Here is a 16203-nt window from a genome sequence, read left to right on the forward strand (position 1 = left end):
TTTTACTTTTATTGTTAGCTTCTAAATTCTCAATTCTTCTTAACATCTGGCACTCCCCTTCCATCCCACGTTGCAGATAACCTTGGGGCCCTATGCTTACACTCTTCCCAATGGTCTCTCAGACTCCTCCAAGTAAGGAACACAGAGACCCCTGTCCTTGGAGACATCACTACCCAGTTTTATCCCACTCTCTCCAGAGTTGGTGTAATTGCAGAATCTTTCTCCCACTCACCCTCAGAGAAAGAGGTCCACCCCATGGGAGGACTCACATATCCAGCTTGCCCTTTCAGACATGATCAAGTTGGAACCATGTCCAGCATTCTGCAGCTACAAGCAACACAGCAGCAAACATGCTATCTAAGTACCAATCTCCTTTATGCCTTTGTCCGTCCACTTTGGCTCTGACTGAACTTACAGTCACATGGCAATCTCACTGAAACATCACCTAATGAGAACAGTTTAGTCAAGAAAGAAGCAAAGCCATCTTACTGTGTGTCTGTTCTACAACACTGTCTCTCAGGATAGCATTTTAATATATCTCCAGAGCAGTAAATTGTCTCTCTGAACAAACTAAAGGGAAACAAGTACATTTCTCCACCACATGTGGCCCCAACTGATTTTCAAGAAGAAAAGCAAGACAAACCAGCAGGGATGAACAAGCTGCCATTGTGTGACTGGCTGTCTCTGGCCAATAACTACCCCCAAGAAATGGGTGGAATTTTCTACCTGCAGTCATTTGCTTGGACGCATTAAAAAACAAAATTCAGAGCCACCAGTGTTATCAGTATGGGAAAGTGAAAACACAAAACAAATAATGAAAGAAACTCATTATCACCACACTACCTACATGTTCAACCTTATATGCTTAGAATGCATACTATATTGTCCTTCTCCCCACCCATTTTTATTTGCAAGTAATCCTCTCTCAGCATTGTCCAGTTATGTGACTTGTTATTTCATTTTTTATCAGAAGAAAACCAAAAAATACCTGTTGCCCTGGAATTCCCTGTCTTCCATTTTCTCCCTTTTGACCCTTTAAAATAAAAAAAAACATTATTGATTAGTTTGCACACTTACGATGCAATCACATATGCAATACAAACTATGTATTACCTTGAGTTCCAGAAGAAACGTAACAAAAGCAGCGATACAAATATATAAATTATGTGAGAGATGGGAAAATCAGTTACTCAGCGAAAAAGAAGAAGAAAAGTCATCCTAATCTTATAGTTAAAGTGGACAGAGATAAGGAACAAATTACTGATTTGGGTGAAACATGTAAATAATTCTAGACAATGAGGATGTTCTTCTAAGTCCATATTAATAGTGGGAAAATAGTTTAAAAAGTCAATGTATATGGACATTTTATTAATTTCAGTGGCAATTATGTTCATTGTTGACTATGGACATGTGAGGACAAGAAGATCTCTTTAAAATTTTATTTTTAAAAATTAAAATATACTGTCACATTTTAGTAAAAAAAAAGCCATTTAAATGAAGAGCTTTAAAGCAGCATAAATAACAGAAAAATTAATAAAGGTATAAACACATTTATCTATTCAATAAGTATTTTTGGGTATCTACCATTCATGGGACATTATGCTAGACTCTGAAGCACTACTTCATCCTTATATTTATTGCGCAAAATAATTAGCAGTTTCTAGGAAGACATACACCTAGATAAGGTAATCGATGAAAGATCTAGTGACTACAATTTTACATCACCCTTGCCTAGTAATGAATTCATCAATTTAATTAAGTGAATTGCTAACATTTTTTGAGCAGCACCTATTTGCTGGCACTTAGGGACACTGAAACAAAGATATCATTGTGGCCTTCAAGTCACTCACTGTGTGGTAAGAGAGATAAGCAATTAAATCTAGAATGATGAAAATACTGCTGATAAGTCTACAATGTATAATTAAACATCTGGGTTGGATATTATTGGAACTTAGGAAGGGGCATCTGACAGAAAGGGTAGGGAATGTGACTCATCCTTTGTGCAGCCTTGAGGGGTGAGTAAGAGGTAGCCAATTGGAGAAAGGATAGGAGGGTGTATCAGGGAGAGAAGACACAGGTGAAAGGCAGGTAGTTTCTTTTGGCTATAGCAGCAGAGCAGGATTGGATAAGAATGGGTGGAGTGGCAAGAGATAACACTAAAAAAGATTCAGTCAGCCCAGAAGGCATTTGATGGCACAGGCTTTATCTTAACATGTGTGGGGCACGATTAAAGGACTCCTAAGCAGATATATAGCTTAGCTATTTTATGCAAGTAAAAGTGTGGAAGAAGGAAGTAGACTGGACTCAAGGAGACCAGTTAGGAAGATATTGCAGTAGCCCAGGACCCCTGACAAGAAATAACTAGTACAGTCAGGAGAGGTAGAAGGTGTCAAGTTCAAGAGATATTTAGCATCGATTATCATGACAGGAAATCTGTGAGTACGAAGCGGTTTATGGGGAAAGATGACAAGTTCAGTTTTGGACATACTGAACCTGAGGTTCCCATGAGTCATCTAAATGCAGTACCAAGAAGGAAATTAGAATATATGGGTCTAGAGCTCACAGACATTTACTTAACATTTACCTCACTCCCAACTTCAATCTTAACTTAAAGGAATCCTATATCATAGTACTTGAAGATTTTCGATAAAAATTGTCTAAAAAACAACTGAATTTTGTCATACCACTCTAAAACATCTTATGTATGTTATGAAGAATAAGTTCATTAATAGGAACTGTTATAATTGTGGATATAGCAAGTTTTGCCTATGACTATTTCAATTTGAAATTTTCTGTTACGATTCCAGAAATTCTACAGCATTCAGAATTCTACATTTGTGGAAATGTCCAGAGTATTTTTCTTTATATTTTCAGCTTATTCTGCATAGCAAAGCTCAGACACTATCACTGAGACTTACAAACTTAAAAACATCATTAAAATACTGTCTGAACACTTGATTGGTAATTTATGGTTGGAAAAGTTTTATATTTCTAAAACTTAAAAGGTTGAAAGAACATCAGATATAATTTATCCCAGATAACTATTTCATTGACTCAGCTAGTGGCATCTTATTCAAAAGTCAGTCTTCAGTGAATGAAAAAACCCATTCCATAGACACTTTAATTGAGGTGAAACTATCCTTGTCTCCTGAAGTAGTAAAATAGGTCTCCTCTTTGCCTTTGCTGCTAAGACACCCAAAACTAAATATCTTTCTAAATCACCCTAGATTTCCCTAGCCTGTTATAATTTTCTGGTTTAATTTTCCTTTCACATATTGATTTGAATATGTTTTATATTTAGGGTTAAAGGTTTTTTATCAAACTTTTGCCATAAAACAATTTCAAGTCATTTTTGGAAACACACTGTGTGTGTGTATATATATATATATGTGTGTGTGTGTGTGTGTATGTGGTATATATATATATGTATATATGTATATAAATACATATTAGAAGTATATAATAAAATTTATGTCTTTATTTTGTTGAATCATTTTGTTTCTAAGTTTTCTGCAACAGCAAAGTGGTGAGGAATTTTAAAGTCAAATTTGGTCTTGTCTGAAAAGCTCAATAGCAAAAGGAGAAAATAGGATTTAACAACTTTATATTAATGTTGAAACAGAAAGGAATTTAAAAGTAAAATAAGAACTTTTTAAAAGCTCTGATTTTATTGCTCAGCCTACTAAAAAAAAGCAAACAACATACCTGAATACCTTTTTCACCTTGATTTCCTTTGTCCCCCTACAAAAAGGCAGTTTGATCTGTATCATAATCTAGCATATTCTGTACAGTTTCAAATAAACATATATTTTTCTCTGCTGAAGAAAAACAACATCTCGTGCAAACTCCACAAGTGCCTGTATACACAGAAGTTGACTCCTAACACAATACTTGGGAAGGGAGCAGAACCACATTATGTCAAAATGATATTGTAAAAGAACACTTTTGTATGCTCCTACATTTGAAAGAAATTTCACCACAATCTTTAATTTCCCAGAAAGGAGAAAACTTCTACATGGTTCACAGTTTTAGGTTAGACAAACTAACAAGAGAGGACTTATTTTGACAAATGTTGTTTTATGAAATCAAACTGAAAATCTTCCATTAAGCTATTAGTAGCCACAAGTTTATAGGAAACAATGATAAAGTAAAGCATAACATTTAAGTGCTATTTTAGAAAACATATATTTCAAAAGTGAGCTTTTGGAAGAAAAATTATATTCCATAAAAATAAGTTTTATAGATTATCAGCTAGAAGGGAAATTAGAAACCAACTTATACAATGCCCTTGTTTTTATAGATAATGAAACAGCCAGTTAAGCACCTGCCCAAAGCTAAACTTGGACACGGTTTCCAAATTTCCTTTCTATTAATACTTCACCGTACTATCTAAACATAGAGTACAGTTTTGCATTTCAACAAAAAAATACAGATTTTCTTTTAAATGGCAACAAGTTCTGAACAAGAAAATTCTCTTCATCCCAAACATATATTCGTAGTAGATTTACTTAACATTTACTAAGAGTCTAACACTTGATGGCTGTTATGTGGGGACACTTCTGTCTCAGCTAGTGCTGCCTACTGATCATCAGAACAAAAAGCCCAAGGATCATACTGTGTATGATCTAGGCACCATGTAGACAACACATGAGGGATAGAAAATAAGATGTTGAAAAATAAATAGCAAGGGACATGAAGATGGAGACATAAGAGTTTGTGTCTTTTCCAGAATAAAAACCGATAGATTTACTTTTAACCTGAAACATTTGTATTTGCAGTAGCATGGACTTCTCAGGCACACAGGCATCAATTGTTGCTCAAAACCTCCAAACAAATAAAAGCATATATTATTTATATACATACAAGTCAAGTTTCCCTTACTTGACCAAAATGAGAGAGAGAGAACCTAGTTTTACTGTCTTTCCTTGCCAAAATATTTTAAATTAGTATATTTGACTTGCATTTTTAAACTCCTTAAATTAATTTTAAATAAACTTCTATGTAACATAATTGTTTCATAGATAGGAACTTCATGGTCAAACATTTTGGACACAAGTTTTATCCTTCCAGAATTTGATCCGGTTTTGGCAAGAGGGGTATTTGCATTTTGATAGGAATGCCTGACATTGGACAATTTTCCTCAAAAAATTCTTAGCTCCCCTGGTTTGTGAAAAAAACCTGAATTTACAGGATATTACTTAATTGTACATTCATATTTTCTGATCTGCATGTCTTTTCTAAGGTCTTCATCTAGGAGACAATACCCATGTGGGTATATAAAAGATGCCACAGCTATTAGCATGGGGCTGAACATATTATACATACATCGAATATATAGGGTACTTTATCATTAAAAATATATTAATAACAAGTCCTACTTTAAGAATTTCACAAAAGAAAAACTTGTTTGCAAGTAACTGGTTAAAAGCGAACTGTATCTCCTAACCAATGCATACCTTTTTTCCTTGAATCCCGGGTAAACCCATGTATCCTGGTTCTCCTGGGGAACCCGTTGCTCCTGGTTCTCCCTATGTAACACAGAAATTCCAGAAAGATCACAGATCTACTGCTTATGAAAAGCACCACTGTTTTTATCTCTACATATCTCAATTTTAAAATGAATGGTTAAAAAAATGTATTGACAGTTACTACTACAGAAATAGTAAAGAATAAAATGTTTACTAGAATCCCAGTAAAATTTCTTGTATTTTTCTCTATCTTTTCCAGTTGAAAAATTCTCACAGCATTTCATATTTTAAAATTCTGTAAATATTTGTTATTTTTATGATACTTTATAATTTCAATAATAAACGAAATAATAAAGTTGTAAAAATAATAAACACAAGTATCTCTTTTTTGTTTACCTATTTACTAACACTTATTCTCCTTGAAACTGCTTTTTCTCAAATTGCTACTTTAAAAAAAGCTTATTTTCTTGTTACAAAATAATAGAAATAATAAAAATTATTAAAAATCTTATAACCCAATATTTTTATTTTGTTATGTATTTTTTCTCTAACTCTAATTCATAAACACACATATATAGTTAATAAAATGTGCTCATATACATGCATAATTTTATCTTTTAATCTCTAAATATATTAATATTATAAAGTTCTTATGCTATCATATTTTTCATAACATAAGTTTTAATTATGGAAGAGTATCCATATTTATCAACTGTATTTTATTTAATAAAATTCTTATTGTTAAACATTACAGTTTTCACAATTTTTGTTTTTATAAAAAATATTGGAATGAACATCCTGGTAGTTAAATTTAATTATTTATATGTATTTATTTACATATGTGGAATATTATTTTGTTAGAAATAAATTCTTGAGCTATTTTTCAGTACAGGGTGTATTACATGAGTTATCTTAATTCCAGTTCTCCACTCTCCATCATCCTATAGGAATTGTCCTTTCTGAAATAAAGTTTTTTGTTTTAAAGTCTTAAATAAATTATTTGCAAGCACGTGTTAATAATGCATTGACATATTTAGGATATATTTGTAAGAGATGCAACATAATCCTGAACATGCTTCATGGTTCTGTTTCGTTTTGTGTTTTACCGTTAGTCCAAAACTCTGTAACATCAACTAAAGATCACTCTCTTTTTTAAAAGAAAAGGAGGCTTTATTCTCTTTGCTTACTGTACTTACTTCCTAGCCATCAAATCATTCTCTAGATTTTTGAAGGTTGGAAGTGTATTAAAAATCCCATTGAAATAAACATCAACCCATGTGGTTTGGAGGAAACTGGTAAAGGCTATTGTGAGTTCTATATCAAAGATGAAACTCCCATAAGCAAACAAAGAACAGTATCATTCATGAGAACTACATGCTCCTGTTTTCAGCTGTTTAAGGGAAATCTATTCTCTGGACCAGAAAGTAAGTTCATGTTTGCCTACAATTTTACAATTTTTCAAAAAATTAAGCCAAAGTTTATATCTTTATTATCCAATGACAAAGTATCTAAAAAACAGAAATGAAACTGTATTGACAATTTCATTTCAGGTACCTTAATTTCATGATAAAGGTAATCCTTAACTTCATGTATCTCTTCAGAGATATAAAATGTTAATTTTCTTAAATAATGAGGGGAATTTACATTATAATTTCTTTGAAAATATTTTCAAATGCATCAAAATTACCTTGAGCCCAGAAGCCCCAGGCATCCCTTGAATTCCAGGTTCACCTTTGCTTCCCTGTCAACACATCAAAAACATTGGAGTTTTTTAAAAACAATTCTGTCATAATATATCTGATATAGACACTTAAGGGAATATATGTAAAATAACTTTTACATTTTTAACTTTCCGATTGTTTGATAGACTCTGTACATTAGACCTATGTATTAAGAAAAATGAAAAAATCTTTTAGGCAAGGAAGGGGTTCCACATATTCATAAGCCTCTCTAAAAACCTGTGTTAAAGCTGGTAGCTTCAAGTATAAGGGAGGAGAGTCAAATCTTTAGTGGCCAGCACTAATAAGTCCAGCCACCACATTGCACAGGTGGGAGACATGTACTTTAACAGCATCCTCCGGGCTGAGATCCTCATCATTATCCTGTCTCACTTTCTCAGTAGGACTCATCTTCAGTATGCAACTGAAGGAAAGAAAAGTAGCTTCAAATGCACAATGGCTTTTTTTGAAGAAGTGTGAATCAGAAAATGTTTAGTTTGTGCTTTTTCAGGATTCCAGTGCAGTTCTTTCTAACAGATGGAAACTTGGAGTACAAGGCTGAGTTGACAGGGCAAAGAATGTAATACAGAAAAGGAAAAGTGGATAGAGAAAGAGAAAACAAGTCTTCTGGCTAATAAGGAGAGATTGTCAAATGTAGTTCTGGTTTTCAAATACTTTGATACCTGATATCACAACCCAATGTCTGGCAAAAGCCCATAATTAAGCAGGTTGGTGTGACACCTAGAAGGGGAACACAATAATTACCCACAACCAACTTGGGTTTACTAATCAGTGAGGCAAACCAATGCCATTTTCAGCTTTTAAAAAAGTTTTGTAGGCTGCTCATGGTAAGAAACATGTGAAGATCACATTAGATTTAATTAAAGCATTTAGCACATAACAGTGTTATTGAACCACAGAATGATTCCTTAAAATTTCTAATTTTATAAGTTATTAAACTGAAATTCACAGACATGAGATTTGTTGAAAGTTATCTGACTCGATAAAGCTAATATATTTTAATATTATTTAGATAATTATTATCTTTTTAAGTTCTGGGTTATATGTGCAGGATGTGCAGGTTTGTTACATAGGTAAACATGTGCCACGGTGGTTTGCTGCACCTATCAACCCATCACCTAGGTATTAAGCCCAGCATGCATTAGCTATTTTTTATGATGCTCTTCCACTCCCAACCTCCCTCCCCTACTAACAGGCCCCAGTGTGTGTTGTTCCTCTCCCTGTGTCCATGTGTTCTGATTGTTCAGCTCCCACTTATAAGTGAGAACGTGTGATGTTTGGTTTTCTGTTCCTGCATTAGATTGCTGAGGATAATGACTTCCAGCTGTATCCATATCCCTGGCAAAGGACATGACCTCGTTGTTTTTTATGGCTGCATAATATTCCATGGTTCTTTTTGCAGTCTATCACTGATGGGCATTTGAGTTCATTCCATGTCTTTTCTATTGTGAATAGTGCTGCAATGAACATACGTGTGCTTGTATCTTTGTAACAGAATGATTTATATTCCTTTGGATACATACCGAGTAAAGGGCAGATTTTTTTAAAACCAAAACATAGTATAGTTAAATAGGCTTATAAATGTTTCTGCAGCTATTTTTAAGTATTATAATATAAATTAGAGGTTTTCTAAAGATCTGCCTCAGTTTCAGCCTTATCTCTGCCCTACTGAATACGTTTTTGTCTCACCCTAGAACTTCTATCAGTGATATTGACAGCACAAGCCACAAACATAAGCTGACAAAACTAGCAGAAAGAAACGAATATAGAGGTCAGTACACTATGATCCATGGGTTAAATCCAGCCCAATGCAAGTTCTTAAAGTTTAACCAGAACATAGCCACACCCCATACCCATTTGATTAGGTATTGCCTGTGGCCAATTTTGCACTATAATGATAAAATTGAGTAGTTACAACAGAGACTTGTATGGCTCTCTAAGCCTGAAATATTTACTTTCTGTCCCTTTTCAGAAAAAGTTTCCAACACCTAATATACAGCAAGAAAAAAATTAAAATATTTTATTGAAAAGATTATGTGTATTTTTAATATGTGTAATTTTAACTTCTTAGATCTATTTTTAACAAAATAATTGTACAAGCACAAGATGCAGAAAACCAACTTTAGAGTAATTCATGTAAAAATAAACAAACTGTGATACTGGAAATCCTCACTGGCCTACCCAGCCAAATCAGCAGAATCTGCTTAAGTGGTAGACAGCACACATTGTTCTAAAACCTTTTACGGAAAGTCCAACAGATACAATTGACCTTCAACACAGTGTGAGTCAACAGTGTGGTGTATCTAATAAAAAAAAAAAAAGCTGATGAAATTTTAGGCTGCATTCTTAAGAATTAGAGAATCCAAAAGACATTGAGAGAGCCCATTGTGCACCACTTAATAAGGGGTATTTTCTTACAAAATGACCTTGAGAAACTGTGGAGACCTGCTTAGCAAGTTCAGTCATTCCAGCAAGTCAGTCACACACAACTCTGTGTGTACCTATAGCTGCTGGAGCCCACAATACACCAAGGATCCACAAGGGTCTACCACTGATGGAAGAGCAGCTACCTTTTCTCATTATTGGGCTCCCATGTCTTTTTTTTCTCTCTCTTTTCTAAATACTTTAGAAATTAAAAGTAAAATAGAGTAGGTCATCTACTCATATGCCAGGGTCTATTCCCCTGAGGCAATGCTTAGTCAAAGGTTGACTGCTTCTAAAATAGCAATTCCATCACTTCCTTTTAGAAGGCTGTCCTAGAATCTATTTGCAAAATAGTTGGGAACAGTTTTCTGAGTGTTTTGTCTGATCCTCTGGTTAACCAAGAAAACAAAATAGTTATCGTACCACAGGATTATATATAGCTAGGAAATGGTCAAATAATGACATTCAAAGAGTTTCAGTTCTACCTTGAGAATAACTAACCTCATATCCTAAATATATTTGTTAAGCTTGCCTTACTTATTTAAAATCTAAAAGTAAAGATAATATGCTCTTACTCACAGAACTAGTATAATTTACAAGGCACTCTATATACATTCCACTAAATAAAAATACCAAAAAGAAGACTAGAAAACTGATATTGTAAGAGATATTCTTATTCATAACTATGAATGCTCTAGACTGGTGGTTTTGGCACTGAGCTCTATAGAGCTCTAGTATTCCTCAATACTAGACACCAAGACACCAAAAAGGGAGAAGGGGGCTGAGCAGCAGGAGATTCTGGACCCTTTCCAACATAACAGGATGAGCTTTACTTTAGCCTGTTTCTTAGGCTGAGCCTTTCCAGATTTAATTCTTACAAGTGATTTTTTTTCATAGAATAAAAACCACATTTAAAATACAATCAAGGTAGTAGTAAAATTTTCATCAAAGTTATAAATGGCCACTGTGATTATACAAAGTTCCCAGTCTTGTTTATTTTATCATATTTACCTTAGATCCCGGTGTTCCAGGCTGGCCTGGTGAGCCATTGCTTCCCATTAAACCCTACAATTTTAAAAAGGAATTTCAAGAGTAACTTAGAGAAGATTATTAAAAAATATTAAATCAATTTCCAAGTTACACATTCTCATAATTAATTCACTAAATTATAATACAGATCTGAAAATATAATACAATATTTAGAAAATTACTCCACCATACATCCATAGAGGATAATAAAAGTAAAAAATCAAACTATGCAAGATAGCATGAAGGCTAGCAGAGCGCTTATGATTCTATTGCTTACAAAAACTACAAATAGAGAAAATGGAGAGCTAGTAAAAGAAAAATATAAAGGAAAATTTTTTTTCTACACTTTTTCTTTTGTTAGGATGGCTAAAATTAGGTGTCTTCATAGATGTTATCCTGATTAACATTACTTAGAATTCTATTATCTTGAACAATATTTTAAAAGAGTTACATTCTAATAAACTCTCTGGATAATCTTTCTTCAGGGTACAAAATGGCCGTATCTTTAATCATAACATTCAAAATAAAAAATGATAACTACTCTTTCAATTAGGACTTGATTTAATTTAGATTCTACTTTAAATACTATTATACATATTTAACACACTTTACAAAGGAAAAGGGATTAAAAAATTATATCATTAGAAAATATAATCTCAATATGAACCTATAACAGACAATTTGATTCATATATTAAAATCAACATCACTTCTAGCAATAAAGTTAAAATTTGGGGGGGGATTCTTGCACACATGAATTTTCATAATTTTGAATCAGTTTCATATGCCATCTTCACTCTTGAAAATTCTGAAATAATTTACTCTGTTTTAGGAGCTTCCCATACTATGTCTTCTATACATATTCTTTCCCATTAGTGTAATATGTTTGTAAATTTAATTTAAAATAAAAAAATCACTGAGATTTAGACTTAATGGTACTTAGTATTTTTAAATTAATAGCTAGAATACATGTTTTCTAATTTATCTACAGTTAGGGTCCCTGATGTTTTTTTGGGTGGCCAACTTTTTGAGAAACTGAAGAAATCTTTACTCTTTTAGAAAAATGCACATAGACATAATATGTTTCATACAACAGAATGGAATTCATGGACCTCAAATATTTTATTGCTGTATCCCCTACATTTTTATGAACTCTCGAATATGAACTCCTAGTAGGTAGTAGCAACACTGCAAACACTTTGATGTATGATGATAATGACATCAACATACAGGCATCCCTGGGGCTCCTTTTTTTCCTTGCTGTCCTGGAGGCCCAATTTCTCCCTAAAAAAATCAAACATTAAAAACATTATAAATTGTAAATTATCAATTTATTTCAAGAAAGCTTCTGCCAAAGCACAATGGAATGACAATTGAATATCAATCAGTTCACCTTTTTCTGCTTTCTCTTCCACTACAGTAAGGAAGGAGCAAGGCCTTAAAGACCTTGGCATAGAGTCTGAGGATTTACTCTCAATATTTTTATTATGACATTTGTAGTAACATTTGCCATTCTTTCAAAGGAAGACCTAGTAGCTTAGATGGAGTTGGTAAACAACAGAAATAAAAATCAGGTGAAAAATTTTTCTATTTATCATAGAGTTTAAGAAATATGATAGTGAACATAAATTAATAAAGAAAAATAGACTAAAAAAATAACAGCATTAGACTTCAACTTCCAGGGATGCGGCTGACTAGGTCCTCTAAGTCCAGAACAAAAATCCTAGAAGGAACATCCTCTGTGAGAGAGTGCTGGTCTTCCAAGAAGTAGGAGAGGTATTCAAAGATCTCTCATTTTAATGAAATATACTTTGAGTTGGGGCTATAATTATGAGAATTTGAACTATACAGAAACCATGCCAGAGACAGAACTGTAGAAGCCAAGAAAAGTGGAAGTATCTGAGGGTGGATCTTCAGCTCTTGGGAAACTGAATGCTGGCCAGCCATGGAAAGGAAGCAGGAATCTTCAATACCTATGATGACTCAGCACTTTCAAATGGGGCTGAAATGGTATCCATGGCTACCAGCAAAAGGCAGGTCTTCATTTCCTAGTTAGGCTGACAGGACACCCTCTAAATTAAGATGAAGCAATGAGCTCATGATAAACAATATAGAAACAAGAGACAGCAAGATACAGGAATGAGAATAATAAGTAATAAATAATTAACTGCAGATATTAGAATTGTTAGAAACAGAATTTAGAATTAGATATGAGATTTTTTTAAATTAAAAAAACAGAATCATGAAAGACTATTAGTACTGAAAATATAACAAGAGACTTCAAGAACAAAAAGTTGTGGTTTAAAAAATTATAAACTCTGAAAGTGAAAATTATGAGTGTTTATCATTTTTAAAAAAAATCAATTGATCATTCTAACAGATTAGACACAATAAAGAATAAGTAAACTATAAGGTATATCTAAAACATTTAACCAGAATGTAAGACAACCAAAAATATGGAAATATGGTAGGTAATGCTAAAAAGAGATGTAGAGCATAAAATTAGAAGAAATAAAATAAAATGTCTAACCAGAATTCCAGAAACAGAGAATGGAGCAGAGGTCATATGGAGATAATGGTGATTCTTTCCAGAACTACTGGAAATAATTCCACAGAGCAAAGAAGCAAACTGAATTCCCAGCAAGATGAATAAAGAGATATCCATATCTAGACATATTGTAGTGAATTTGAAGAACACTAAAAACAAATAAAATACCTTAAAAGGTTCCAAAAGAAAGAAACAGATCACTTACAAAAGAATGATAATTAGAATGACAGCAGATTTTTCAAAGTTAACAATGAAAGCCAAAAAAACCATAGAAGAAAATCTTCAATTTACTAAGAGAAAATAATTGTCAACCTTGAGTTGTATAGTCTACAAAACTGTCCTTCAAAACAAGAGCAAAATAAAGAAGTTTGTAATTAAATAAAAACTGAAAGTTTATTACCAAGCTATCTGTACTAAAAAGACATTCAAAAATATAGTTAAGTAAATTAACTATAAAGAAGTAAATTATGCCATAATTATGTTAGAGAACAAAGTTGAAAAGTAACAAAGTAAAGGAGGAAGCATATAATGTAAATCTAAATTAATATTATCTATATAAAACAACCACAAAACAATATATACAAATTTGTAAAGCCAAAACAACGTCTTCTAAAATTATATAATATTTGAAAAATTAACTGTTACCACAAATGTAAAACTGTATTTTATTGTAGACAACAATGCATTAAATGAGCAGATCCAGGCCCAAAGCTAACTCTCATGAATACTTACCTTTTGGCCCATTAATCCTCGGTTTCCAGGAAATCCTGGGATTCCCTAAAAACAAATAAAATAGATTTTTAACTTATAAAAAATTGAAGACTTTATCATTAAAGAAGAAACAGTCACAATTGGAATTTTAACTGGTAAATAACATATTTTCAAATGTATACATATTATAATATTGCTATTTGTAATAATCCAATATGGAAAAGACAACTTAGGAGATATAGCATTATATGAATATTACTGATATTTAGAGCTTTAAATAAAGGCTTTTTGAAAAAGAAACTATGAGGAAATTCATCTCAGTTCTTGCACCCCAACACATGAGTGATAAAATTAAAATGATGTTTCATTTGAACACATTCTTGTATTCTAATGAATCATGCAAGAAAATCTGTTAAATGATATAAGTTCTGATTTAGCGCAACAGTTCCACAAGCCCTCAGTGTCACCACCTTAGTTAAAAATTAATTTAATTAAATGATTGCCTCCCACCTGAGCCTTGAAATACCCAAGAACCTAAATATTCATATAAAAAATGGCAATCTTTTCTCTTAATAACTCCCTTACTGATGCAATCATGAAGAATATGAAGACCACAGTTTGTGAAGAGACATAAAGAAGTACAGGTCACTCTTTCACGTGGCTGAACTCATATGCACATGTCTGTAGCAACATTCAGAAAAAATTAATGTTAATTCTATCAAGTTAAGAATAAATTTAGCACATTTATTGCTTGCAGAAGAGTTCTATTGTCTGCCTTTTGATGCATTTACCCAACATGATCATTTATCATGCAAAACAGTGATTGTACTAATCAATTTTTGCTTTTTATTCCATTTTCTTAGCACCTATTTTGGTGACATTTGAGCTGAAACAGTTAACAACATTTATATTTATACAAATGTATTGACACTGAAAGACAAGAAAATTGGGTCACATCTGTATGACTTTGCAAACCCTCTGCACTAGCAGGCCTTCCAAAGGAAAGCAGTACTCTTCAGTAAATCACAGCAGGTGCTAGAGCTGCCATTGACAATGAGATCAAGTGTCTTCTTCTATTGCAGGGAGAATCTGCCATTATCTTTATTTTCACACCCTGAGTTTATAAATACAACCTTTATTGATCAATGTGCTAATCGCAATTATAGGGCAAGACATAAACACATAGTTCTAGTTTTAAAATCTGAACTCAAATCATACATTGGAATTCAGTTTGATTCTATTCAGCTCAATTCAGTTTGCCACTTCACTATACCATTTGCAGAGAACAAAAGTGGTATGTGAGCAATGACTATCAACAAGGGACTCACAATCTAGTTGCAAAGACAGGCCTTTATAAACGTAAGTAGAGAATAATATGAAAACAATAAAAATACCTTGAAGTAACAATATAAAACACAATCACAGTACACCTAATAAGCACTCTAAAACATAAAGTAAAAGTAAAATCACTGAGTTATGAATATAAAATGAATTGTACCTTCTTAGGCAGAAAATGTATATTCTCAATGCAATGAATTAAGATAAACATTATTCAAAATAAGGGCCTCCATTTGAATGAACCGTAATTTGGTGTGAAACCACCCTGTGACCTCCTCCCATTCAAATACCCACACACGTGTGAAAATTCACTAAAAGTTGAGATCAAGTTCTGAATTTAACTAAAATACGTGTGTAAATTCTTCTCAGAAGGAAGGTGGCTATACATTGTTCTATGCTGGAAAACTGGTACAGTTCTGTCAATGTAATAACCTTGGCTCCCAGAGTCCCTAACGGGCACATGTGATTACCGATGACAGTGTCAGACCTGAGAAGCTGAATTTCTTACTAGTCTTTAATTATTTAAAGTTTTTATCACTATTCAAGTCCCTGTGCCCTTACACAGTCTGTGATGTTAGCAGAATTAGTTACAGATATCCTGAAGACAATCCCAGTGTTAGCAAGTTCACATCCTTTCCCTGGAGAAAACAGTTATACCCAGGTTTCCACGAACAGCACCTTGGCTTCCACCTCCTCAAAGCCCTTGAGAGCCCATTTCCCCACAGTTTACTCCTTGGATTTGATCTGACACTCTTTTATCTGAGACACTCTAATACTGAGCTTGGTCTGTAGTAGAACATAGCCACAAATCTTACATTATTTCAATATATCTGCTATTAAGATTATTTGGGGGAGATTCCAGACTATAAAAAAATTCCTTTTCTTTTTGTTCATCCTCTCAAACTGGCCAAAAATTTACATACATTTCATAGATATGTATGTCCATG

General features: G+C 33.0%; 1 protein-coding gene across 14 annotated transcripts in view; it reads right to left on the minus strand.

Annotated features, from left to right (window-relative positions):
- The window catches only part of COL21A1 (collagen type XXI alpha 1 chain), a 337539-nt gene that overhangs the window by 7000 nt on the left and 314336 nt on the right, over nucleotides 1-16203 (minus strand). For 12 of the 14 annotated variants that reach the window (NR_134849.2, NR_134850.2, NM_001318752.2 and 9 more), the window contains 7 exons: nucleotides 13940-13984; nucleotides 11890-11943; nucleotides 10643-10696; nucleotides 7156-7209; nucleotides 5457-5528; nucleotides 3706-3741; nucleotides 989-1033 (listed from right to left, as the gene is read on the minus strand). Coding sequence is in view for 11 of the 14 variants with exons in the window: in NM_001318752.2 (NP_001305681.1) it covers nucleotides 989-1033; nucleotides 3706-3741; nucleotides 5457-5528; nucleotides 7156-7209; nucleotides 10643-10696; nucleotides 11890-11943; nucleotides 13940-13984 (360 nt within the window). In the remaining 3 variants the exon portion in view is untranslated. The remainder of the gene's footprint in view (nucleotides 1-988; nucleotides 1034-3705; nucleotides 3742-5456; nucleotides 5529-7155; nucleotides 7210-10642; nucleotides 10697-11889; nucleotides 11944-13939; nucleotides 13985-16203) is intronic. The other 2 variants (NR_134851.2, XM_006715223.2) reach the window with 1 other exon arrangement.

The sequence above is a fragment of the Homo sapiens genome, chromosome 6 (assembly GCF_000001405.40).
Source record: "Homo sapiens chromosome 6, GRCh38.p14 Primary Assembly".
NCBI classification, from domain to species: Eukaryota; Metazoa; Chordata; class Mammalia; order Primates; family Hominidae; genus Homo; species Homo sapiens.